Raw genomic sequence first — 27453 nt, forward strand, 5'->3', positions numbered from 1 at the left:
AGATGCTCTTTGAAACCAATATGAACAAAGACACAACATACCAGAATCTCTGGGACACATTCAAAGCAGTCTGTAGAGGGAAATTTATAGCACTAAATGCCCACAGGTGAAAGCAGGAAAGATCTAAAATTGACACCCTAACATCACAATTAAAAGAACTAGAGAAGCAAGAGCAAACACATTCAAAAGCTAGCAGAAGGCAAGAAATAACTAAGATCAGAGCAGAACTGAAGGAGATAGAGACACAAAAAACCCTTCAAAAAATCAATGAATCCAGGAGCTGGTTTTTTGAAAAGATTAACAAAATTGATAGACCACTAGCAAGACTAATAAAGAAGAAAAGAGAGAAGAATCAAATAGACGCAATAAAAAATGACAAAGGGGATATCACCACCGATCCCACAGAAAGACAAACTACCATTAGAGAATACTGTAAACACTTCTATGCAAATAAGCTAGAAAATCTAGAAGAAATGCATAAATTCCTGGACACATACACCCTCCCAAGACTAAACCCAGAAAAAGTTGAATTCCTGAATAGACCAATAACAGGTTCTGAAATTGAGGCAATAATTAATAGCCTACCAACCAAAAAAAGTCCAAGACCAGATGAATTCACAACCGAATTCTACCAGAGCTACAAAGAGGAAATGGTACCATTCCTTCTGAAACTATTCCAATCAATAGAAAAAGAGGGAATCCTCCCTAACTCATTTTATGAGGCCAGCATCATCCTGATACCAAAGCCTGGCAGAGACACAACAAAAAAAAAGAGAATATTAGACCAATATCCCTGATGAATATCAGTGGGAAAATCCTCAATAAAATACTGGCAAACCAAATCCAGCAGCACATCAAAAAGCTTATCCACCGTGATCAAGTGGGCTTAATCCCTGGGATGCAAGGATTCAACATACGCAAATCATTAAATGTAATCCGTCATATAAACAGAACCAAAGATAAAATCCACATGATTATCTCAATAGATGCAGAAAAGGCCTTTGACAAAATTCAACAGCCCTTCATGCTAAAAACTCTCAATAAATTCGGTATTGATGGGACACATCTCAAAATAATAAGAGCTATTTATGACAAACCCACAGCCAGTATCATACTAAATGGGCAAAAACTGGAAGCATTCCCTTTGAAAACTGGTGCAAGACAGGGATGCCCTCTCTCACTACTCCTATTCAACATAGTGTTGGAAGTTCTGGCCAGGGCAATCAGGCAGGAGAAAGAAATAAAGGGTATTCAATTAGGAAAAGAGGAAGTCAAATTGTCCCTGTTTGCAGATGACATGATTGTATATCTAGAAAATCCCATCGCCTCAGCCCAAAATCTCCTTAAGCTGATAAGCAACTTCAGCAAAGTCTCAGGATACAAAATCAATGTACAAAAATCACAAGCATTCTTATACAACAATAACAGACAAACACAGAGCCAAATCATGAGTGAACTCCCATTCACAATTGCTTCAAAGAGAATAAAATACCTAGGAATCCAACTTACAAGGGATGCGAACAACCTCTTCAAGGAGAACTACAAACCACTGCTCAACGAAATAAGAGAGGACACAAACAAATGGAAGAACATTCCATGCTCATGGATAGGAAGAATCAATATTGTGAAAATGGCCATACTGCCCAAGGTAATTTGTAGATTCAATGCCATCCCCATCAAGCTACCAATGACTTTCTTCACAGAATTGGGAAAAAACTACTTTAAAATTCATATGGAACCAAAAAAGAGCCCTCATTGCCAAGACAATCCTAAGCCAAAAGAACAAAGTGGGAGGCATCACACTACCTGACTTCAAACTATACTACAAGGCTACAGTAATCAAAACAGCATGGTACTGGTACCAAAACAGAGGTATAGAGCAATGTAACAGAACAGAGCCCTCAGAAATAATACCACACAACTACAACCATCTGATCTTTGACAAACCTGACAAAAACAAGAAATGGGGAAAGGATTCCCTATTTAATAAATGGTGCTGGGAAAACTGGCTAACCCATATGTAGAAAGCTGAAACTGGATCCCTTCCTTACACCTTACACAAAAATTAAATCAAGATGGATTAAAGACTTAAATGTTAGACCTAAAACCATAGAAACCCTAGAAGGAAACCTAGGCAATACCATTCAGGACATAGGCATGGGCAAAGACTTCATGTCTAAAACACCAAAAGCAATGGCAACAAAAGCCAAAATTGACAAATGGGATCTAATTAAACTAAAGAGCTTCTGCATAGCAAAAGAAACTACCATCAGAGTGAACAGGCAACCTACAGAATGGGAGAAAATTTTTGCAACCTACTCATCTGACGAAGGGCTAATATCCAGAATCTACAATGAACTCAAACAAATTTACAAGAAAAAAACAAACAACCCCATCAAAAAGTGGGCAAAGGATATGAACAGACACTTCTCAAAAGATGACATTTATGCAGCCAAAAGACACATGAAAAAATGCTCATCACTGGCCATCAGAGAAATGCAAATCAAAACTACAATGAGATACCATCTCACACCAGTTAGAATGGCGATCATTAAAAAGTCAGGAAACAACAGATGCTGGGGAGGATGTGGAGAAATAGGAACAGTTTTACACTGTTGGTGGGACTGTAAACTAGTTCAACCATTGTGGAAGACAGTGTGGCGATTCCTCAAGGATCTAGAACTAGAAATACCATTATATGACCCAGCCATCATATTACTGGGTATATACCCAAGGGATTATAAATCATGCTGCTATAAAGACACATGCACACGTATGTTTATTGCAGCACTATTCACAATAGCAAAGACTTGGAACCAACCCAAATGTCCATCAATGATAGACTGGATTAAGAAAATGTGGCACATATACACCATGGAATACTATGCAGCCATAAAAAAGGATGAGTTCATGTCCTTTGTAGGGACACGGATGAAGCTGGAAACCATCATTCTCAGCAGACTATCGCAAGGATAGAAAACCAAACATCACATGTTCTCACTCATAGGTGGGAATTGAACAATGAGAACACCTGGACACAAGAAGGGGAACATCACACATCAGGGCCTGTCGTGAGGTTGGGGCAGCGGGGAGAGATAGCATTAGGAGATATACCTAATGTAAATGACGAGTTAATGGGTGCAGCACACCAACATGGCACATGTATACATATGTAACAAGACTGCACGCTGTGCACATGTACCCTAGAACTGAAAGTATAATAATAATTTTTGTAAAAACGTTAATTATCTAATACAGATTATATAATTAATTTAATAAAGAACCTCAATACAAAAAAAGAAATTTATATGTATTCTCTATGGTCAGGCACAAATTTATGAATGCACGTGTATATAAATAAATTTAAGTGTGTCCTTCAAATATTTTGTATCAGGAATCAGCAAATTATGGTCTTAAAGCCAAATCCAGCTGGCCAACCAATTCTGGAGATTAGTGTTTACTAGAAACAGCTGTCTTCATCCACGGGGCCCTTATGTCCAGGGCTGCTTCTGGGCTGTGGCAGCATCTGCCCGCCCTGCTCTGCACCATTACTGGTGTTTTGTTATCTGACGACTCTGTTGAGTTCCTGGGCAGACTCTGCCAGAAACTGCCAAGTGATATAAATTTGTCAGTTTTCATTAATTTATTTCAATGTTTGCTTTGTATAATTCAATATTATGTTCTTGTGTATATAAGGATAAGACTATTGCCAGGTGCAGTGGCTCACAACTGTAATCCCAGCACTTTGGGAGGCCGAGATGAGTGGATCGCTTGAGGTCAGGAGTTCGAGACCAGCCCGGCCAACATGATGAAACCCCATTTCTATTAAAAATACAAAAATTAGCTGGATATAGTGGCAGGCGCCTATAATCCCAGCTACTCAGAAGGCCGAGGCAGGAGAATCGCTTGAACCTAGGAGGAGGAGATTGCAGCGAGCCAAGATGACACCACTGCACTCTAACCTGGGCTGCAAGAGCAAAAGTGTGTCTCATAAAAAAGAAAAAACAAGAAAGAAAAAAAAGATAAGACTATTGCATCTTGGTGACTTGCACACTAATCAATAGGAAATATTCTTCTTTTTCATTTAATCCCTTTTCTTAGAATTCTTTGTTGTCTTGTATTAATATTGTTGTCCCTGATTCCTTTTGTATTGCATTTCTTCTGTTCCTTTTTTTTATAAACAGTGATGATATGTAACTCAAAATGAATCATAGACCTACATGCAAAACATAATATTACAAAACTCCTAGATGGTAGCATAAGAGGAAATTTGATCATCTTGGTTTTGGTGATGACTTTTTAGATGCAACACCAAGGCACAATCCATGAAAGAAATAATTCATAAGCTGGACTTCTTTAAAATTTAACATTTCTGCTTTGTGAAAGATATTGTCAAGAGAATGAAAAGATAAGCCACAGACTGGGAGAAAATATTTACAAAAGACATATCAGACTTTGTATGTTATCCAAAACGTACAAAGAACTCTTAAAACTCAGAGATAAGAACACAAACCAAACAATTAGAAAATGGGCCAAAGACCTTAACAGACATCTCATCAAAGAAGATACAGAAGGTGACAAATAAGCATATCAGCTGATGCTCCACATCATATGTCCTCAAGGAAATGCAAATTAAAACAACAATGAGATACCAGTACACACTTATGAGAATGCCCAAAATCTGGAACACTGACAGCACCAAATGCTAAAGAAGGATGTGGAGCAACAGGAACTCTCATTCATTGATGGCAGGAACACAAAATAGTACAGCCACTTGGGAAGACAGTTTGGTGCTTTCTTAAAAAACTAAACATACTCTTACCATAGGATCCAGAAATCACACTCTTCGGGATTTACCCAAAAGAACTGAAAGCTTATGTCCACACAAAAACCTGCATACACATGTATATGAACACATTGCACAGTGGTGAAGTCCGGGCTTTTAATGCAGCCATCCTAAATAACACGCATTGTACCCACTAAGAAATGTCTCCTCCTTCACCCACCACCTGACCTCCTGCTCTTCACTGTCTCCAGTGTCTATGATTCTACTCTCTCTCTACCTCCATCTGTATGCATGATGTACCTCCCACTTACACATGAGGGTGCACAGTGTTTGACTTTCTTTTTCTGAGTAATTTCACTTAAGATAATAGCCTCCAGTTCCATCCATGTTGCTGCAAAAGTCATCATTTCATTCTTTTTATGGTTGAGTAGTATTCGTCTGTGTGTGTGTGTATGTGTGCGTTTGTGTGTGTGTTTGTGTGTGTGTGCGTGTGTGTGTGTGTGTGTATCTTTTGCCGCTAAAAGTAATATTGCCGTCATATGGGAAACTGGGAGAGGGAGAAACAGGTCCCCCTGGTTACATAAGAACTGACAGAGAAGGAAGTTGAAGAAAGATGATGGGTGGAGAAAATAGGTCCCACCTAGGGAGACATCACATCAGCTCTATGGAGCCCCAGAGTGCTTAAAGGGCTGGCACTAAATGAACCAGGACCTCTTGCGGCCTACAAGGAACATTGTAAGGGGGTAGCAGAAAAAGTCCATTTCAGTGATTCATCATCTCCTTTTCCTCACCATGCCCCAGGGACTCCTGTGCCTTCCCAACCCTCTTGCCCCTACCTGGTTCAGGCTTTCCACAGCAGGTTAGGGCACATTATAGCCAAGGGCACAACTCCCAACTCCTACACAGGCTGTTTTGCATAGGAGGAGGAAAAACACTGAAGACTTTCTGGGAAGTTAGTGCCATGGGGCAGGAAAGAACTTTTCCCACTCCCTACCTCCAGGCTCATTCCATGGGGCGGGGGGGGCGGGGGTCACTCCACCACTCAACCTAGATAGTGAGGCCCCTGACCCCAGTCCCCCCACCTAAATCCAGGGCTTCTGTGAGGGGCTGACCAATGGTTAGCAATGAAGTAATCCTGCTTCCCTCCCTGGACTTTGAGTTCCCATAGGGCAGACCCTGATGCAACCCAAGACCTATAGCACAGGGGATAAGAGTAAGGATTTGATTCAGGCTTTTCTTTGTTCGTGTGATGATTTGTTGTGTTTACTAGCTGAGTAAACTTGGGAACATCTCAACTTCTCCTTTCCTAAAATAGAGATTGCAGCACCTGCTTCTTAAGACTATGAGGGGAGGGTTGAGGAGGATGCAAGAGCAGCAGGTGTCTTGATGTCTAGACATTAAAACGCTCAGTAAGCGGTGGGGGTCATAGAACAGGCTGTCACAACAAATGTGTGGAAGTACTGGGGGAGGGAATAAACAAGACCATGCTGCCTTTGGGAGTCTGAAACTCCATTCTCTTTGGGTCCAGAGGCCCAGTGCTCTTTTCTCCCATTTCCTGACCTGTTACTACACATGTACCGCTGCCTTACCCTCAAATCAAGATTGAGCCAGAGAAGGCCCCAGGTGAGGTCTCTGGGGTGGGGTGGGACCTGGTGACCTGGGACCCTGGCCAGAAATCCTGAGCACAGCCTCCTGGGTGTGTCCCACACACCTGATATGGGACAAGCCTCCAAGAAACAGATGACAGAGGTGGCCCCAGGCCTCCCAACCCGTGGGAAGAGCCAGGCTGAGCCTTATAAAGGACTGCTCTTTGTCCAAACACACACATCTCACTCATCCTTCTACTCGTGACACTTCCCAGTTCTGGTAAGTCTCACCTGCCTCTTTGCATTTTCTAGAAGTGCCCAGTGCCCAGCCTGCCATGCTGCCTGTAGGAAGGGAAAGGGCTGTGGACAAAGTCTCAGAAGCCTGGGTCTAGGCCAGCTCTGCCATTAGCTGGGCTGTGTGACCTTCACTTGACCCCAAAAGCCCACGTCTGTACAACCAGGTGGCTGAACCAGACCTGTCCATTGCTCCTTTGGGATCTCCTGAGACAACTCCTGTGGAAATGTCCCCAGTGGGACCTGAGCACAGGACCCTCCCTTTCCTTCCTGTCTTCTTCCTCCCTGGATTCATTCTCCTTTTGGGATCCCAGTTGCTGAATCCCCTCCCCAGCTCTGCCCCCACAGAGGGAGGAGGGATAAGGATCCCCTGTGAATGCTTTGGAGGCTCTCCAAACCCCCAGGCCTTGGACCTGTAAATTCTCAGTCAATCTCTGGGCACAGGGCTTGGCCTCTGGCCTTGGCCTTGGCCTCAGATTCAGAAAGCTTTGAGTGGCTTCTCTTAGTCAGTTGCTGGCACGGAGCTTTCTCCTGCGTTGAGAGGTGTTGGGGGTTTATTGTCAGATGCCCACATGCGTTAGCCAAGGTCCTTTTCTGGTTCTTTGGAAAGTGTAGAAATGAGAGCTGCACTGTCTTATTTTTCAGGCTTGGGGTGCAGGGCAGCCCAGGCTGGCTACTGGCTGGAAGATCTGCTTTGGAAAGTCAGACATTTTTATTTAAACAGGGTCAACCCTTGGTGATTCAGAGGGTGCAGATATTTCCCAAGAGCAGACATGAAGCGACTCCCACCTCACTCCCACCCCATCCAGCAGCTTAAGAACCAGGGAGTTATTTCTGTTCCTTGTAACAGAGGCAATTCTTGTTTCTCATTCCCAAGGGAATGTAGGAAGGGCCCCCTGTCCTCGGGAGAGGGCTGTGTTTCCTGCTCACACTCATGTCCACGCTCACATGTGCACCTGGAGCCTGCACGCACTGTGTCATGCAGGGCTTGCACTTGAGTCAAGGTGGGGCCCACGGTGTCTGGTTCCTGAAGCAGCCGAGGAGGGTCAGACACCAGATCACCAAGGCCATTGTCCTGCCCCCGTGACTCTCACCCCGACTGTGAAGCTGGAGGAGATGGATTTGGTGCTGTTTCAAGAGTGGGGTCCGCCATGTGCTGGTTGAGGCTGGGGGGTCCCAGCTTAGTTCTTCTATGTGTTGCTGGCCTCCGACTCTCCCTGCTTCTCCTTCTCTGAAGCACTGTCCACAGCTGGACTTCTGCCATCCACCTGCATCTCTTCTTGGCCCTGGCCAGGATGGGCCGGGTCTCAGACTTGGTCCTACCCTCTCATTTTTGAACAACTTATCCCATCACATTTAAAAAAATCAAGTTCCTTCTGCTCCATCTTAGGGCTGTTTTTACTCTGTCCTCAGCCCTCCTTCTAACACCCCCACATAGAGACCTTAATTCAAACTAAGGTAAGAAATGATTGTCTTTATTTCCTGAAGGCTTTTTGAAAGCAAAGATGAGCAACACTCAAGCTGAGAGGTCCATAATAGGCATGATCGACATGTTTCACAAATACACCGGACGTGATGGCAAGATTGAGAAGCCAAGCCTGCTGACGATGATGAAGGAGAACTTCCCCAATTTCCTCAGTGCCTGTGTGAGTTGGGGTCTAGCTTCTCAATGTTGGTTGGACCCTGGCATGGCTGAGGATACATTTTGCTATGTGGCCTTGGACAGGTCACCCTCATCCTCTGATTAAAAAGTTTCCCATTTGCAAATAGGGCTTTATTGCTTGGATCATATGTGAATCTAAGGATGGTAGGCGAAAAAGTATGAAAATGGGAAAGAGTTATACAGATATAAAGGAGGTTATTAGATGGTCAGCAAAGTGTGCAGCTTGAGGACAGTGCACAGTCCCCTCCCAGCGCTCACTGACCCTCTCTCTGTGAGACTGAAACTCACATGCTCAGGTCCTGCTTCCCAAAGGCCCCACATCAACATCCCTGAGATTACTGGGAAAGCACTAGAAGTTCCATTGCTAGTAGAAATCAATAGCCCTCTTTGCAATAAAGAAAACTCATTGGCAAATCTGAAAAAACCTGTGGGCTACTAGGTACCAAAGGGTCTAGATGACCAAGAGTAGGGAACCCAGAAGATGAGTTTGGTGGAAAAGGAGAAGAAAGGAGAGGAGGTCAGAGAAAGAAGAGAACAAAGCATGAGGGCCAATTTTGAGGCCCTGGGGTAGAACTAAGGTAGGCAGTGCCCTTAAATGCTGGGAACAGGCAAGATTGAGGCTGGGGCAGGGGACTGCTCTCCCCAAGGTCACTTAACAGAGTGCCTCGGGACAGGACCTGCCTCCCATCCTGAGGTGTGAGACAAAAAGTCTCCTTAGAGAACTCCAGGGATAACACTCACGTCCTCACCCCAACTTCACCCACTCACCCTGTGCTCTCAGCCCCACGACCATGCCTGTGCAGATCTAGGTACTTGTCTGTATCTCTGCCTCCTCCTCTCCCCTCCCAGCCCAAAACTTGTTTGTGATTGAATTTTTCTATTTTGTATGTTTTTCTCTTCACAGGACAAAAAGGGCATACATTACCTCGCCACTGTCTTTGAGAAAAAGGACAAGAATGAGGATAAGAAGATTGATTTTTCTGAGTTTCTGTCCTTGCTGGGAGACATAGCCGCAGACTACCACAAGCAGAGCCATGGAGCGGCGCCCTGTTCTGGGGGAAGCCAGTGATCCAGCCCCACCAAGGGGCCTCCAGAGACCCCAGGAACAATAAGTGTCTCCTCCCACCAGACACTTGCCTTATTTCTTCTTCTCTTTGGTGACCTACATTGTCAAAACTACCAATTCCAGGTTAACTTTGTTGGAGAATTTCCCCCACCCCCATCCAGTGGGTCACCCAGGAGTAATGTCCCTCCAGCAACGTTCCCCCTATGGCCTCCAGCAGAGCTGATCTGCCTCTCACACAGGTCCTGGTGTCTGCCTCTGCACCGTTCCCTAAATGCAGCCACCTTGGCAGGTTCCAGGTGGAAGTTGGTAGAAGGCCCCTGCCAGGTCACAGCAATGCTCTCCTTGTCAAGGCATGGACCAGGGTCATTCAGACACATTCAGATACTGCACTGAGAAGGAGCTGGCATCTCTCAGTGTGCTCCTGCCCTCCCACTCCTGCCCCAGCTGTTCTCCAGGGCTTGGGGAAACAGAAACCACTCACATAGGGATTCCTGGATGGCTTCAGGTTCAGCGCCCTTGGGGCTATGAATGGGAGGCTCAGCAGTGCCCTGAGGATGGGCTTCCTTGTCCTGTGGCCTCTGCTCCAGGGGCAGTGTCCTTTCCCTGTGCTGTGTGCTTGTGTGCATGTGCCTATGTGGGTGACCCTGTGGAAGTGAGAAGGAGTCACTGTGATGCTTAGCTGTCCTAAATGATGGTTTGCTCAATGCCAGGACTGGGTTTCTGGTGATGAATGAATATTCCAGATTTTGAGGAGCTCTAAGTGGTCCAGGAGTCCAAGTAAGCAGTCTGGCTGGAATAAGGCAGCATCACGGAAATTCTGTAAGGACTGACACAGAGAGCTCATGCTGACTGTGATGAGAAATTGCAGCACCTCTATCTCGCAGGTAATGGAGTAGTTTGTTATTGGTAGTCTACTCCAGGCCAGGCAGTGTGTTATGGGCTGAGGATGCAGAAACAGGCAGGACACAGTGCTGTCCTAGCAGTGCACTGGCGGGTCTCTCCATGCAGGCCACAACACAGGGTCAGTGTTCACCTGGTGTCACTTCCAGGCAATGTTCTGTGCAGCCGCTCTTAGTATTCTTCCTTGAGGCTCACATCATGTGTCCCTATCACTCTTACTACTCTGGTCAGTCTCCAGCTAACCTCTCAATCAGGCAAACATTCTTCTTGGAGGAATCAGGCAAACATCTCAAAAATTCTCTTTCCATCCTACCAGCAGCAGTGTGTAAGATGGGCTATTTGTTCTTTGGAATGACTGCTCCACTCCACACTCACACCTCTATTCACAGACCAGCATCTCCTCTCCTTATCAGGAACATTCCTTCCTGAACATATTCTGCACCTCGTCAGCCTTCAGGACTGATCTGCCATTTTCACCTCTAAATCCCCATGTCTGACCATTAGTTTTCTTCTCTTTCCTTCTCTCCCTTTCTCATTCTCATTCCACCTGTTCTTGGAACTCACGGAGACCTACAGTCCCTGGGCTTTCATTTTCTCCTCCCAGCCCCCTGCTGCCTTCTCTATGCAGCCTGCCCTCCATCATCCACCCCAGAATTGCTCTCTTTCCTCTCTTAGCTCTGTTGCCCACTTTCCTTGGGCCATACCTTCCCTGCAGATCTCCAGCCCAGAACCATCTTCCCCTGTTGTCCTCCTCTCTCCTCCACCGGGACTGCTGGTCACTGCTTAGAACCGTCATGCCAGGGTCCCAAAAGTGTGGGTGCCTGACTTCCTCTCTGTGCAGCACTCTCTGAATCCCTCCTATTCACCTTGCTGCTGTTATTCCCCGAATGCGCAACATACCCCCCATCAATATATCTCAGTATTTCATGTCTCAATACCAATCTTTTAAACTACTGCCTCTACCAGAAATGTCTTTTAATACTTCTTCTGTCTCATTAACATTACATTTCAAGGCTGAGCTTTAATGTCAGTGTCTCTTAGACATTCAGAGGGTGAACCACCATCCCTTCACCCCAAAGAAATGATCTCTGCTTCATTTGTGCCTCCCTCACCATGACCCCACTCTTACCATAGTGGCTACATTACTTCAGATTCCCCTAATGTCTTTCCAGCCAGACTTGGAATCATGGAGGGAAAACATTGTTACCTCGGATCTCCTGGTTACCCAGCACATAGTAGTACTGGATTCCAGCTCATAATAAGTACTCTATATCATTTTTCAATATAAAATGTATTTGTGCAAATTCTAGTCAATACTACTTTATGTAAACAGCAGTGTAAAATCCAAAAACTTCCAGTCCTGGAGGCAGGTTGTGCAGCTTAGGGGAGGACCCCAGAATCTGGACCCCAGAGTCTGGAAGCAGGCCAGAAAGGATAAGGCAAATGACTGAACAGTTCCCTCAGGACTCACGTACTGATCTCCCAAAAGAAGAGAGGGTCTCCCTGGGGTGGGGTTGCTGGACCTTCAATCCATCGCTACAGTCCAGAAGGCAATTGGCCACTCCTAATGTGGGCCTGCCCTCCCTTTATTTTTCCAGTTCTTATTTCACCTGATAATATTCCGTCCAATTGGCAATGGCACATAAAAATTAGGATGGAGTGTGTGGACAAATACTTCTTCATCTTCTTGTCTAGGTTTTAGAAATCACCTTCTCAAGGGAGCCTTGTCTAATGTTCCTGAGACTATTTCACACTCTCCATGCTTATGTCAATGCAGGACTCATCACATCTATTCGGATATTCTGTTTACACACCCATGTCATCCCAGAGAGGTGATCACAGGGCAGGGACACATGTGTGGCATACAGTTCCTAGTTAAGATCCCAAATCCTGAGATATTGCTGATTTGCTATGGCAGGTCGTCAAGAGAACTGTGTCATTCCAAACTCACCAAGGTGGCTTATAGAACAGAAGCAGATGGATATGAAGAGGAGAGGGGACCAGACCATCTCCGCAACCACAGCCCAGAGCTCCAGTCACCAGATAGAAAATTGATTTGATTTCATCCAATATTCCTTCGAAAGAGTGTCAAGGAATAGGGTGGGGCAATGTGTCATTCTGCATTGGAAGGAGGACATTTTAGAGCAAGGCCTAAGGGCACAGGTATTAGTGTCATATTGATCAGAATTCAACCTTTGTTCTAACACATACTAGAGCAAGAATTTACTTGATTTGGAATAATTAATAGCTACTGGACATTATATTGGTACTAAAGAGAAAGAATACTTGACAGCTCTATGCCCACACTCACATTACAGCTGATGTGAAAGAGATTCTGGAAATCCAAATGTTCCCCAGAAATTCTGATATCAAAACATTCCAATAACTTTTTTTTTTCAGGCGCAGTCTCACTCTGTCGCCCGGGCTGGAGTGCTGTGAGCTGTCCGTGGTGCTGAATTCACTGTGACGTCACTCCTGTCTCTCTTTGCTTTCTTCTGACTGACATTTATTCAGCCTTCTCTACAGGAATCTCTTATGTTCCCCCACATGCAGGTGGTTTTTCAGTAGGCTCCTGAAGAGTGATCTCAACTTTCCAGGAAGAAAAGAGGGCAAAGGGAACAATGTGAAAAGAAGCAGAAAATCATAAAAGACCATGTGTTTGATAAACAACCAGATTGTTTCTGGTTCCCTGCCACTATAAAAACACCATGAGAGCATACTCATACATGTTCCCTTATAAATCTGCGAGGTAGTTTCTTTGGTATTCTTGCCCAGGAAATGGGTTGATTCATCACAGATTTTATATATATACTTTTTTTTAACTAAGTGTGAGATAATATCTTATTGTTTTTGTAACTTGCATTTTACAAGAGTTCTGACCAGCACCAGATAAGCTTCAGTGCTCTCCTTTCTTTGGCCTTAATATTATTGGATTAAAGAATTACTGCCTCTCACTAGGAGCATCATTTATTTACCATTATTTTCAATTTCATATTAAAACTCAATTTCTAGTAGAGTCTTTGGTTTCCTTGGTTTATTTTTCTATTTAAATATTTTTTATCTTTTATTATTCTTTACCATGTTTTGAAGTAAATTAAAGCAGTTAATATGAGCCAATCAACTTCTTTGGGAATTACATAGAAGAGCATGAGAGCCTTTATTTCAGGCAATGCAACAACGTAACTTTAAAGAAATTTAAAGTGGAACTCCAACTCATATCCACATTGCTCTATGCACAGTTAGCATTATTACATCCGAGCTACATTTACTTCATAATCTGCTGCCACAGTATTTGTCTACCCACTTCTCCACGAATACCTTCCCTAACCTCATATTGCCTCCCACTCCTTAACACCACAAACAATACTATGGGGAACATCATTATATATATTTCCTTATGTATCTGTGTGAATATTTTTTGGAATATATATATATATATTCCAAAAAGTAGACTACCTGGGACACAGACTCTATGTGCTCTTGGCTTGACTATTGTTTTCTTACCAACAGTACCAAGAGTTCCTATAGCTCAGCATTACTGCCAATATGTCTGCTTCTGGTTATGGAATACTTTCATAGCAGACTAATTATCCTAACAAAACATAGAAAACGTGGATGAAAATCAGAAAATTTTCTGCTTCAAAGCATCAAAAAGCTACCAAGTAACCAGGACTTGAAGGCTCTGGTTATCCAAGAGAAAGAAGACTCGATCAATGCACTCAAAATTAAAGCTGCTTCTCTTCCTGAGGAATTTATCATTTCTCAAGTAGTTTGTACAAAGAAGTTAAAAACCAAACAGAAAGTAACTTCTAAGAGACAAAGAAGATTATTTGCGACTTTAATAGTCATTCAGGGCTGGTGAGATTAAAATCAGTGTTGAGGACTTCCAACACAGCCAGAACTTGAAAAGCCAAGAATTTAGATAAAAGAGAAGCAACAAATGGTGAGTTGATTACTCTAATTTTCTCCCTTTGAGGCATGCGTCTTTTCACAAGTTGCACAGGACAAGAGGTACAGACCATCAGAAAATCTTTGTTAAAAACCTAAATAGCTAGTAAGAGCCTTTAGGAGATAAACATCAAAGCTCAGAGGATTTCCAAGGTAGAGGTACCCTTCTAAACATTCCAGGATTTCAGTTAGAACACCTAAAGTGCTACTCCTAGGAATAAGTATATGGATCAGAAATATAAATCCTAAAATTTAGTTTTGAATCAACTTTATCCTAGATTGGATTTAAATGATCTGCTACTTGAATTCCTTTCCAGAAGCTAAAGAAAATTCTCTAGAGGGAGAGAAAATCATCCATATCCTGAAATAAAAAAAATTCATTTTTAATGTTCAGCATTCAAAAAAGCCAAGTACACCAACAGAGAAGATAAAAATAGGAAATGGAAATAAGAGAAGACAATAGAAGATGTAAACAAACCGAGAGATGATAAGCCAGGCACAGAAAGATAAATATCACATGTTTTCACTCATCTGTGGGAGCTAAAAAAAAAAAAAGTTGGTCTCATGGAGGTAGGGAGAATGATGGTTACTAGAGGCTGGGAAAGGTGAGTGGGTGGGGTGAAGGGAGATTGGCTAAACAAATAGAAACATCTAGCTATATAGAAGGAATAAGATCTAATGTTTTATGGCAGAATAGGGCAACTATAGTTAACAAGAGTGTATTGTATATTTCAAAATAGCTAGAAGAGAAGATTTCATATGTTCTCACCACATAGAAATGATAAATACTTGAGGTGATTGATGCCCTAAATACCATGACTTGATCATTATACATTCTGTGCATGTAACAAAATGTCACCCATGTACCCCATAAGTATGTAACAATATTAGACATCCATAAAAATTTTTTAAATACTGTAAATGGAAGCAGAGAATTGAGAAGATTGCAGAGGAGAGTGAAGTCAAAATAATTATTTAAGGTCAGACAAATAACAGTGTATTTGTATAGAATGAAAAGACCAGAAAACAGAAAAAAAATGATGGTGCATAAGAAAAAGAGGAGAATTTCTGTAGAGGGTGTTTGAAAAAAGCAAGGAGGATGGGATGTAGTGAAAGAGGATGGATAGACATCTGCTGGGAACATAAAAAGTTCATAGTAGTGGGGGGAAGGCAGAGTGTATGGCCACTGATTCTGATAAGAGGGTAGATGGGGTAATTGAAGTATGCAAATACTCTCTTATTTGTATTGAATGTGCAGTTGGATTAGTGGTCATGAATTTGAAGTGTGACCAGTCAACAAGGTAAGCACATTTTTCTCCAGACTTGTTTATCTGCAGAAGTGTAGACAGAGTTGGATTTACCCAGTGTTGGCAATGATCATTCATAGCTGATACAGAAGAAAAAGACACCCAGACATGTACTCTTGATAGTAGACAACCCCACATTTGAAGCAATCTGCTTTAAAAAACCTGAACCCTGAAGATGCTTAAGGCTCTAGATCTACCGAGTTACAAAGGGAAGAGAGAGGCTGAGTAATCTGTTCATTGACACCACATGGATGCAATCAGGAACTCCACACTGTAGGAAATTCTACAGGACAAATGACCCAGTTTCTACAACAACAACATCAAAATGAAAGGAGAAAAAGAAGAAATTGAGAGTGAAGCTGCACATTTAAAAATCTTGGCTGAGTGCAGTGTCTCACGCCTGTAATCCCAGCACTTTGGGAGACTGAGGCGGGTGGATCAAGTGGGTAATCCTAATTAAATATTTGTTAAATCAAAAATAATAATTCCTGGCCCTGCACAGTGGTTCACACCTCTAATCCTAGCACTTTGGGAGGCCAAGGTAGAGGATCCCTTCAGCCCAGCAGCTTGAGACTAACCAGGGCAACATAGTGAGACCTCCATCTCTACAAAAAATAAAAAATTAGCCAGGCATGGTGGCATGTGCCTGGAATCCCAGTTACATAAGAGGCTGAATCAGAAGGATTACTTGAGCTAAGAAGGTCGAGGCTGCAGTGAGCCATGACCCTCAGCCTGCTGCACTCCAGCCTCAGCAACAGAGCATGACCCTGTCTCAAATAATAATAATCATTCCGAAATAAGGGACATAATTTTTAAGGAGAGTTAAAAGGCTGAAAAAATAATAGCATACAAGCCAGAATGGGAGTCTCTGAATTTAAAGTGAATTATTTACATTGTTTAGGAGGAGAATAGAGATATTGATTAACTCTAGTCTAGTATATATTGCAAGTTAAAATTTCAAAGGTAACCACAAAAATTGTGTGCCTGTGTGTGTTTGTGTGTGTATGTCCAAACCTATAAAAGATGGGGATAACCACATAAAAAAGAACAAAATGTGGCTCACGTCTGTAATCCCAGCTCTTTGGGGGACCGAGGTGGGCACATTCCTTGAAGTCAGGATCCAGGCAGATCAGCTGGAGACCAGCCTGGACAACATGGCAAAACATTGTCTCTCCTAAAAATGCAAAAATTAGCCAGGCATGGTCGCAGCCACCTGTAATCCCAGCTACTTGAGAGGCTGAGGTAGGAGAATCACCTGAACCCAAGAGGCAGGGGTTACAATGAGCCAAGATCACACCACTGCATTCCAGCCTGGGCAACAGAACAAGACTCTGTCTCAAAAAAAGAAAAAAAAAGAAAAAAAAAGAAAGAAAGAACGAAGTAGCTAATCAAGAATCAACTGTGTTGCCAACATGCATATTTAAAGAGAAAAAGGAAAAGAACCCAGCAACCAGAGCAGGGGACCAGTTTACTGGCTCTTGGTGTCTGCTGAGCCAGGGCCTGGGTGGACAGCCCATGGGCTGGGCTGGGCTGAGATGGGGCTGGGTCATCCATAACCTTTAGAACAGGGCTTCTGGCCATGGGACTGATGGTGTAATTCCTTAGCAACTGCAGCAACACTGGAGACAAACTCAGAAAAATTGATCTTCTCCTCATGATTCTTGTCCTTCTTAAACAACTTTTCCAAGAAATCTGGGCTCTTTTTTTTTTTCCTGTGGGGAGAAGATATCAAACAAAAGGAAGGTTATAACCTGGGGCTGGACTGGGATTGTGAGAAGGAGATGGCAGAAGCTAAGGGGAAATATGTAGCGGGTGAGGTGGGGGTTTTAGGAGGGTGGGGTTGGGACAGCCGTAATGGATGGGATGGGGAGCCCTAACCCTGGCGTTTTAATTGGTGACTCTTGGTTCAAATGAGAGCATGCATAGCAGATCCAAAAATTCTGAGGCCAGGTCTGTCTGTGCCCCTTGGAATGCCTGATATTCATTCTACATGGGCAAACACCCTTTGGACTCCAGTCTCAAAATTCCCTCCACTCCTCATCATCCCATCAAAATACACCAATTCTGAATCCCCTCCTTGTCGGAGCTCACTCTCTGTGATTCAATCTGTTGCATTATTTGTGCCAGTGAGGTCAGTGGGTGCTAATGGTTTAATGGTGAAGTTAGATGTTATAGTGAGTGGAAATCAAAAACTCTCCAGGGTTTTAGGGCTGCCTCATTTCACTTGGCATTATGATTCTGTGGTGTCACTACTGCTCCCAGGGGTACATGAAAAGAAGCTTCCAGAAGGAGCAGACGAACCCAGAGTTGAATCTAAAGGGGGAAATTTTTTTACAGACAGAAGAGAGATACTTTAAGCCAGGAGACCTTCTCTCGACCCACAAGTCACATAGCCTGCTGACTGTCTAATAACAATCGTTAACACCACTATCCCTCTTCCCATCTTACAAAACATCGCACATGTTTTACCTCATTTAAATGTTCATAACAATCCCAGGAAATAAGTGACATTGTCCCCATTTTTACATCTAAGGTAACTAACACTCCCTGAGTTGGTGTTTACGTATTTGTAACAATGAAATAAGTAAACAGCAGGGGCTGTGCAGGAAATCGGTTCTTCTCACCCCATCCTGGACTCTGTCTACTGCCCACCTTCCATTCAGGAGTAGAGGTGCAGGTGGCTGGGGGGAGGTGTGAGATGCTCGCCAGCCTGCCACATCGGTGCCTCTCCATGTGCTGGTTCTCAGGCCAGTCAGGGCCATGGGTGCCGTGCACTCCTGCCCCACTCCCACCCAGCCGCTGGGTCCCTGCTCACAAGGCTGATAGGAAGGTGGGGGAAATGCATGACGTTGGACATCCAGATCTGCCCATGGCATCTGAATCTCGGGTGTATTTGTGACATAGGTTGAGCAAGCCCTTCAGCTGCTCCTCAGCTCCCATGTCCAGTAAGCTGCAGGAAAGGGCGCCGGTCGCCTGGCTTGCTTTCCAACGTCTAAGACTGTGGGGAACAGGGATGAGAGGAGACAGGATAGGCAGGGAATGGAGTGAGGGCCGGTGCTGCAGGGAAGGTGAGAGGCAGCCCTGAGAAGGAGCAAAAGGAATCTGATAATCCTTCAGTCCAGGTGAAATCCAGAGGAGGGAATAAATGTTTGAGGAGAGGGAGGGGAAGTCATGGAAATTGTAAGACCCAGGGTGGGATGTGTGGGCAGAGGGAGGAGGGGGTCGGCTGCAGGAGTGGAAGAATGAGGTGGTAGCGTCTGAGGGATCCTGAATTTAAGGTGCTGGGGAAAGTAGGAGTCCGCCTAGGGATCTATTACTGCTGAAATCAGCAGTGAGACCTTCCAGCAAAACACTGACATGAAGAAAGGCACGATCACCCCCTCGCTTTCCCAGAGCTCTGGGATCTCAGATAAAATATAAAGAACCCAGGTGGTGCCCCGTCTGTGTGGAGCTACTGACAGGTCAGCAATCAACAGCCCAGGGGAGGCCTGAGCGACCCCACTCCATGTGTCTCCTGGACCTCTGGGCTCAAGTCCTCTTACGATGCTCCAGGGGGCACTGGAGGGCTCTGCCAATCCCTGCACATTTGTACCGTCCCTGTGCTCCCAACCCTGGGCCCAGGGCTGGGAGCAAGGGGGAATTAAGGGAACAGTACAAACATGAAGGATTCACTCTGGACCTCTCCAGTGCCTCAGAGCATCTTGAAGAGACCTGAGCCCAGGAAGCTGCGAAATGAACAAACCACTCAGTAGAAAGAAGGACTGCAGCAGGTAGAGGCGGTGCTGGGAATCCTGGACTTGGCTCTGGCCTCATGGGTCTACAGAGACATTCTCTGCAGTAGCTCTTCTGTGAAGCTCCTTGGTGTCACAAGACCACCAAAAGTCAGAACAGAAAGGATATAGATTATCTAGTCCAGCCCCTCACTGCCCAAAAGAAGATGCTGAGGCCTGGAGGGAGAGGATGAATGACTTCCCTGCAGGTTGCACAGGCCAGTCAGGGACAAGCTGTAACTTGAACCCAGGCATCCTGACTCCCAGCCCAGGGCCTTCCTCCTGACATAAATAGGCAGCAAGCAGGATGGAGCATTGTGCCTTAAACATAGAAGCACAAGGGCACACGGGGACTCACCAGACCCTGCAGAGAAGGCCTAGAGGAGGGTAAATGGGAGAAGGGTGTCAGATGGAGAGCAGTGCCTTTGATGGTGCTCAGATTTAGGCTGGGACCAGGACTGGGTGCCTGGGGCTTATTCCATCAGCTGCCTCAACAGGATGCTGGTCCGGGTGGGAACTCAGCCGACACTGCCCTGGGACTCAGTTGTGCCTGCCCAGCGAGGCCCCAGCAGAGTCCTCTTGCCTTTCTAAGTCCTATGGGGCTGGAACGGTGGGTGATGACAGAGGGAATGTGAGAGTGCTGCTGTGCCCCCAGGACATAGGGCATTTGGGGATTTGCAGGTGGAATCAGAGTCCCTGATTATGTATCCAATGAATCATTTGAGGAGCTTTCATTACCTGTCAGTAATGTAAACGCAGCTGTCATTTGTGACAGGTTACCACATGCCAGGCAGTCTGCTAAGAGCTTTGCATGCATGGTCTCATTTAATTATCAGGAGAATCCTGTGTGATGGGTATTATTATCTCAGTTTACAGACGTGAACAGAGAGTTTAGCTAGATTTGCCAAGAGTACACCCTTAGAAAGTGGCAAAGCCAGGATTTGAACCCAAGTCCTACTGACTCCGAAGCCCAGCTTCTAGCCATCTGTGGAAATCCAGGGTCTGTGCTGTCAGTCTTGGCTGAGCATGGAGTTACCCTGCCCCGCAGGAGCCACTGTCCAGTGCAGTGCACAGTAGAGGAACCAGGGCTCTGACCTGGACATGGCCCAGGGACCTTTGTCCAGGCTGTTCTGTGAGCTCTAGGCCCCAGATGGCAGGCAGGAAGCCTCTGTGTTCCCCAGAGCACACTCCTGCTGGCCACAGTGGCCTCCAGGTCACTCCAGAAGGGAAAGCTGCTGACTAAGACCCTGTGCTTTCTAAGGAAAGCCACTTTTATTTGAGATGTCTTGCTGATCCTCCCAGGGCACCCAGGAAGACAACTGAGATTTTTATCTCATCTTACAGCTGAAGGAAAAAGGGTCACTGGCAGGTGGCTTGCACAAAGTCACAGAGCTGGGGAGGGGCAAACATGGGACCATGTCACAGAACTCTGTCTCCAATGAGCACTCTTGCTGCATGATCTCAGAGCCCCACCAGGTTCCTGGACACACCAAGACAGCCATGGTCCATCCGCCACAGAAACCTCAGGGGCAGGGACAAGTCCTGCCAACTCACTGGGCTTACCATTGGCCTAGTATGTAATGCAAATTATTCCCCACTGGGAGAGGGGAGCCCGGATTAGTCAGTGGACATCCACTCAGGTACGCTGGTGCTCCTCAAGGCTGCTTCTCATGTCTCCTTTGAATAGGGCCTGTTCATGGAGCCCTTCATATTCCCCCTACAGTGCTCCTCATGCTCCCAGGGTCTGTCAGGAGCACCAGTGGCCTTCCTGACATCAGGACTCCCTGGCTCTGCTATTCTCTCGATTGTCCCTCATCACATGTGTGTGCACACGCACACACACATGCATCTGTGCACACGCACACACACACGTGCATCTGCACACACAAACACACACACGTGCACCTGCACACATGCACACACAAGAACACGTGCATCTGCGCACACACACATGAACACCTGCATCTGTGCACACACACACAAACACGTGCATCTGCGCACACACACACACGAACACGTGCATCTGTGCACACATGCACACACACAAACACGTGCATCTGCGCGCACACACACATGAACACGTGCATCTGTGCACACATGCACACACACAAACACGTGCATCTGTGCACACACACACACACACGTTGGCACTGAATACATCTGCACTGGTGCCTTGGAACTGTATCCTCTGCACAGCTTCCCATCCACCCTCCTCCAGCCAGGCCCTCTTTCTGCAGAGTTTTCAAATGTGTTTATTCCAAGATATTTTCAGGAGTCAGAGATGTCAAACTGTAAAAAAGCACAGGAGCTTAGGGAAGGGATGGAGGTGAGGCTGTAGTCCCAAATCACCTCCAAAGCCTTCCGGTTAAAAGCACGGGTTCCAGACACAGGCTGCCATACAACTTATTATCTCTGTGTGTCAGTGTCCTCATCAGTAAAAGTGGTGACAAAGATAGTAGATTCCTCCTAGGTTGTTGTGAAAATTAAACGAGTTAATATATGTGAAGGACTTGAGAGGGTAATCAACAAGTGGTATTTGCTAAATATACTTACTATTATTATTATTCTGTCTATATTCAAGAAAGCAGCATAATGAGGTATTATTTGCACTACCTTTCCCCAGGGCAGGTGCAGGAGGGGGTACTTGGAAGATGGTTTCATCTTGAGCAGAAAGGGCAGAACCTCGTTGCTTGTCTCAGAAATGCCGAGTTTTCTACCATCACCTGAGGGTCCCAGAATGAAACTGTGTGTGCAGAAGACAGATCTGAGGATTAGCCAGCCTCTCTAGTGCTACCTATCCAGGTGTGGCTCCCTTCAGTTAGTATGGAGAGCTGAGACCTTACCTGAGGCATAAGTACAAATGCTTGCCCAACTAGTGGGGTTGGTTCCAGCCTGATCCCTGCAGGCAGTCTGTCTAAGACGGTGGTTTGCACAGTGTGCCATAGGGGCCCCCTTGGAAGAACACGTGATGAAATGAAGCAACTGGGGCTCAGGCAACAGCCCAGGAGTTAGGAGCACTGAATTCTTGTCTGGGTGGCTGCGGGTGAGGCCCTTACCTCCTTCTGTAGAGTTGTCTCATCTACTGAAGGATGAAAAGAACTCATTGCACAGAATTCTCCTGAGGTTCACAAGAGATAATGGGGACAATGGTAATATATAAATATAAGGAGATGGCAGTTTTGTTTTTGTTGGGTTTTTTTTTGTAAACAATAGTGATTTTCTTTTCTTTTTTAATTTAATTTTATGGTTTTTTTTAAGTTCCGGGATACTTGCATAGGATGTGCAGGTTTGTTAGTTACATAGGTAAACATGTACCATGGTGGTTTGCTGCACCTATCAACCCATCACCTAGGTATTAAGCCCCACTTGCATTAACTATGTATCCTGATGCTCTTCCTCCCCCCGCCAAAGTGACAGGTCCCAGTGTGTGTTGTTCCCCTCCCTGTGTCCATGTGTTCTCATTGTTCAGCTTCCACTTATAAGTGAGAACGTGCAGTGCTTGGGTTTCTGTTCCTGTGTTAGTTTGCTGATGATAATGGCTTCCGGAGATGGCAGTTTTGAGAGACTTAGGGCCGATGGGGTTAATTGGAGCCAGGTCAGGTGGGGCAGCAAATTAAAACTAGCAAGAGAAAGTCCAACAAGGGGGTGACAGGTGCATCGAAATGAGAATCAGGCAACTTGCTCCTAACAAACCATGTGGCCAGCAGCGGGCACACCTCAGGCCTCTCTTTCTTCATCCATAAAATCGTATGAAATCCTGTGTCATGAAGGAGTGCTCCCATATCAGCAACACACTCCCCCACCACCATTATAATGCACTCTCCTTGATTCAGCACCCTCCAGGATCCCTTCTGAGACATACTCTCCTGGTTCCTCCTGCGTCCTTTGAAGGCAGGGGTTGGCCATTGGAGATGCTGATACTGAACTAAGTACCCTGGCTTAAATGAGAGTGACTGGATCCTACAGCAGTAGAGGCAGGTGACAGAACTTAACCATTAGAAGCAAGGTGGCCTCACAACATACCAGGCAGCAAGATTAGGCTGGCCGCAGGGGAGTGTGTCCCGCAGGGATCTACGGAGTTGGCTAAAGAGCATGGTGCTGATAGGAACAAGATATACAGGCATCTGTGTCAGAAGGAATTCAGCCTTGCCCACACAGAGGCCTGGCCTCTGCCCTGGGATTCTGGAGGTCATGTCTAAGCCCTGGAAATATCATCCCCAAGAAGCGTGTCCTTGTTTTCCTGGAAATTAGAACCACTCCAGAAAGCCTAACAATGTGATTGATGGTGGAGGCTTTGAGTCATGTCTTATCAGCTCAACTTCTGGAGGGCTGGAGACTGAGGTCAGTCACACAGGCAGTGCACCAAACGGTCCTCATAAAAACTCTGGTCACCAAAGCTCAGATAAGGTTCCCTGGTTGGCAAAGCCACAAGCTGTTGCCAGGAGCAGCACTGCCCATGACTGCACAGGGAGAGGATGACCGGATGCTCCTGCTTGGAGCTTTCCTGGACTCTGCCCCATGTGTCTCTTTCTTACATATTATAGTCTGTATCTTCTCCCTATAATCAACCACAACTATGAGTATAACCACTTTCAGTGAGTGCTGCAAGTTCTTCTGGAAAATTATCAAAACACAGGGTACTGCTAGAGACCCCTGAGCTTGTAATTGGTGTCAGCAGTGAGGGCTGTCTTGTGGACTGTGCTCCCTCCAACTCTAAAACAGCCAACAGGGTACAGCTTAATATGATCAATAAAAAGAAACCAAGAATGAAAGCAGAAGGCTTAGATCAGTCACCAGATAGAAAAGTATTATCCTTTGTCAGGTCTCCACACCTGAGCCAGTTCTCAGACCCCGAACCCATCATTAGAAAGAGAAGCCTGGTCCCCACAGAGAGACCTTGTAATATCACAGCAAATGCATATAACAGCGATTTCTTCACCTTCATCTAAGGTGCCTATGGCCAATTCCTCTGCTTGATCAGTTAGGCTCCTCGTGCCAGGACCCCAGTTGCCCCCAAAAAGGTGTAACTTCACAGGAAGGGTAATTGATTCTGATCACCATGTGGGACTGCTCCTACATAATGGGGTAGGGAGCATACTTCTGGGACTCGGGTGATCCCCTGGGGTATCAATTATTATCCCTACATATAGTTTTAACAGTAAATGGGTAAGTACAGCAACCGAGGTCTGATAAGGGCATAGGAACCAGCAGCATGCAGCCCTCAGTGATGAGAGTCTGCGCCGCCCCACCAGGTAAGCCACCTAGACCAGCAGAGGTGCCAGCCACCAGGAGGGAAATCTATAATAAATCATAGAGGGGGGAGAGGATGTGCATCAGTTGTGACCTCTAAAACAACCGCAGCAGGACAGCCTGTAGTAGCCCCCAACCCTTCTTTTGTAAAATTACCCAGAAATCAAAACCAGCTAGAACTGGAGAAGCAATCGCTGGATGGAATGAACCTGATGTGAGAAGCAAATAGATCTGAGTGGGCATAAGGTGTGGACTGCAGTAGATACTGTGATGCCCACCCTCATCCCTGTTACCTGATCCGTGTGCCCGTCTCCAGCTTCTGTTAATGTTGGCCACTAATAGGGCACGACTGCACCCTTCTCCTAAGAGCAGCCCCTGATCCAATGGAGCTCCCAGCCCGGAAATGCCTAAAAGGCTCTGCCTCTCCCTGGGGGTGGCCTATAGCCAGTGACAAATGGTGCAGGAATACACAAGGTGGGCCTCTTTGCCTCCAGGTGGGGTAACTCCATTCAGGCTGCAGAGCTCCCTGTGGGATGAGAACAAAGCTAGACTGAAGCTGAGCTCCTGTCTCCAATGAGCTTTTTCCCCGTCCATGCTGTCACCCCCATGTCCTCCCAGGTTTCCCCTGACAGCACTCCCTGATAAACCATATCACTTGCAGGGGAATCCCCATCTTAGTCTCTACTTCTAGGAAATCTTACTGTGAACTTACCCCAAATAAGTTCTCCTGGTAAAATAGAAAGGGTGATGTCAGCCAAGTATTATCTGGTGGTGGGGCAATATCACGAGTGAGGAGAATGCAAGAATCCGATAAGAAAGGAGGATAAGCCAGGCAAGGTCGCGCGCCCTGTGGTCCCAGTTACTTGGAAGGATGAGGCCAGAGGATCGAGTCCACAGTGAGCTGTGATCACACCACTGCATTCCAGTCTGGGTGACAGAGAAAGACCTCATCTACTTAAAAAAATTTTTTAATGGAGGGGGCCAGGCATGGTGGTTCTCGTCTGTAATCCCAGCACTTTGGGAGGCTGAGGCAGGATTGCTTAAAGCCAGGAGTTTGAGACCAGCCTGGGCAATCTAGCAAGACCCATCTCTATAAAAATGAAAAATTTTAAAAATAGCCAGATGTAGTGTCCTGCACCTCTAGTCCTAGCTATTAGGAAGGCTGAGCCAAGAGGATCTCTTGAGCTCAGGAAGTTGAGGCTGCAATGATCTATGATGGCACCACTGCATTCTATCCTGGGACACAGAGCAAGACACTGTCTCAAAAAAAAAAAAAAAAAAAGGAGGATAGGCTGGGCGCAGTGGCTCATGCCTGTAATCCCAGCACTTTGGGAGGTCAAGGTGGCAGATCACTTGAGGCCAGGAGTTCAAGACCAGCCTGGCCAACATGATGAAACCCCGCCTCTACTCAAAATACAAAACTTAGCTGGACGTGGTGGCTCACACCTGTAATCCCAACTACTTGGGAGGCTGAAGCATGAGAATCGCTTGAACCAGGGAGATGGAGGTTGCAGCGAGCTAAGGTTGAGCCACTGCACTCCAGCCTGGGTGACAGAGGGAGACTCCAAAAAAAAAAAAAAGAAGGAGGATAATCCTATGACATGAGGCTCAAAGATGGAGGAATTTACAGAGGTGTAAGGAATAATAGGGAAATTGGGGAAATGGTCTGAACATGGCCCTGGTGATTAAAATGAATGCTGATCCTACTGCCTGGCCCAAAGGGTTTGAAGGGCTTAAAACTGGGAAGAATTAGCAACACCCAGTGGAGAGGCCACAAGAAGATGGGCATCTTGTGGGGAGGAACAGCCATTGCATCATTTTTATTTCTGCATCTTCATTGTCTGGCAGAGTACAAGGCTCAGAGATAAGCATCACTGTCTCCTCCCTGCCCTTCATCTGATGCTCCTTATCCAACAACGACCACCCCAAAAGCATGGACCTGAATCAGCTGGACTTGTAGCCAGTTTCATGTGTTTTGGAAGGATTCCCCCACTGGCCCAAAACTGACTGTCTTGCCTTTGCATCCCCAGTGCCCAGCTGGATGCTGGCATTCAGCAAACCACATTTCTTAGAAAGACAACAATATCCACTCACACTGATCCCAACAAGCAGACACAGGAGCAAGGCCAGAGCTGCAGGGGTCAGGCCAGAGGACAGGGGTCTAGTGCTCACTGCTGCTCCTTTCTACTCATGAGAGTGGTGCAGAGAGCAAGTGCCTATCTGGCCTCTGGCAAGGCCCCAGGCAAGGGTTCCAGTTTACACCCTGATCTAGGCTCACCAAGCTAGGTAGGTAGGATGCGTCCTCCCAGGTGTGTGAGCACAGGTGAATCTCAAAGCCCAACAACCAAAAAAGAAGAGTGACCAAATCAGGATTCAGGACACTGTGGGGAGCACTCTGGAAGCAGACATTTGCTGGGGAGCATTTCTGTACCTAGTGGAGCATCTACAAAGCAGTTAACCAACAACTTCCTGTTCTGTCTAAGATACACACGGCCAAGGAAAAGGAGGAAGTATCTTGTGGGAGTAGATGCTTTATTGTCCATGGGGGTCTCCAGAGGCCCCTGGGTAGGGTGGGATCACTGGCTTCCCCCGGAACAGGGTGCCACTCCATGCATTATCTTGTGGTGGTCTATGGTTATATCCCCCAGCAAGGAAAGAAACTCAGAATAATTAACCTTCTTATCCTTATTATCATCTTTTTTCTCAAGGGCATTGGACAAGTAATCCATGTCGCTTTTTTCCTGCATGGAGAGAAACACGCAAGAAAGAAAAATGATATTTGAATTGGAAAAAGAGGAAAGAGGTATCCTGTGGTGTGAACATGACAAGTGGGTAAGTGGGACAGGAGTGGGTGGAAGAGAGAGAGCAGCATTGCTGGGTTGT

General features: G+C 45.7%; 2 protein-coding genes and 1 pseudogene across 2 annotated transcripts in view, besides 1 other annotated feature; 1 reads left to right on the top strand and 2 right to left on the bottom strand.

Moving 5' to 3' along the window:
- Positions 1-12672, bottom strand: part of S100A8 (S100 calcium binding protein A8) — a 32552-nt gene extending 19880 nt beyond the window's left edge. The window contains exon 1 of the mRNA NM_001319198.2: positions 12607-12672. Coding sequence (NP_001306127.1) covers positions 12607-12608 — 2 coding nt within the window. The 5' untranslated portion in view covers positions 12609-12672. The remainder of the gene's footprint in view (positions 1-12606) is intronic.
- S100A7A (S100 calcium binding protein A7A) lies at positions 6609-13311 on the top strand. The gene is made up of 3 exons (NM_176823.4): positions 6609-6652; positions 8155-8312; positions 9234-13311. The coding sequence occupies exons 2-3, from the start codon at positions 8172-8174 to the stop codon at positions 9396-9398; spliced, it is 306 nt and encodes a 101-aa protein (NP_789793.1). The 5' UTR covers positions 6609-6652; positions 8155-8171; the 3' UTR covers positions 9399-13311.
- S100A7P1 (S100 calcium binding protein A7 pseudogene 1) lies at positions 17097-18490 on the bottom strand (annotated as a pseudogene).
- Positions 24972-25501: a transcriptional cis regulatory region, noted in NCBI's record as "candidate enhancer chr1.8681 targeted for multiplex CRISPR interference". NCBI's record gives its function as "positively regulates PGLYRP4 gene expression with high confidence in K562 cells {active_cell/tissue: K562}" and the evidence as "EXISTENCE:mutant phenotype evidence [ECO:0000015][PMID:30612741]".

The sequence above is a fragment of the Homo sapiens genome, chromosome 1 (genome assembly GCF_000001405.40).
Source record: "Homo sapiens chromosome 1, GRCh38.p14 Primary Assembly".
Taxonomy (NCBI): domain Eukaryota; kingdom Metazoa; phylum Chordata; class Mammalia; order Primates; family Hominidae; genus Homo; species Homo sapiens.

What these genes read in the sequence shown, in the direction of transcription:
- S100A7A (NM_176823.4), top strand. Translation starts at nt 8,172, where the DNA reads ATGAGCAACACTCAAGCTGAGAGGTCCATAATAGGCATGATCGACATG. An exon ending in CCAATTTCCTCAGTGCCTGT is followed by an intron (nt 8,313 to 9,233) that starts GTGAGTTGGGGT and finishes TTCTCTTCACAG; the next exon opens with GACAAAAAGGGCATACATTA.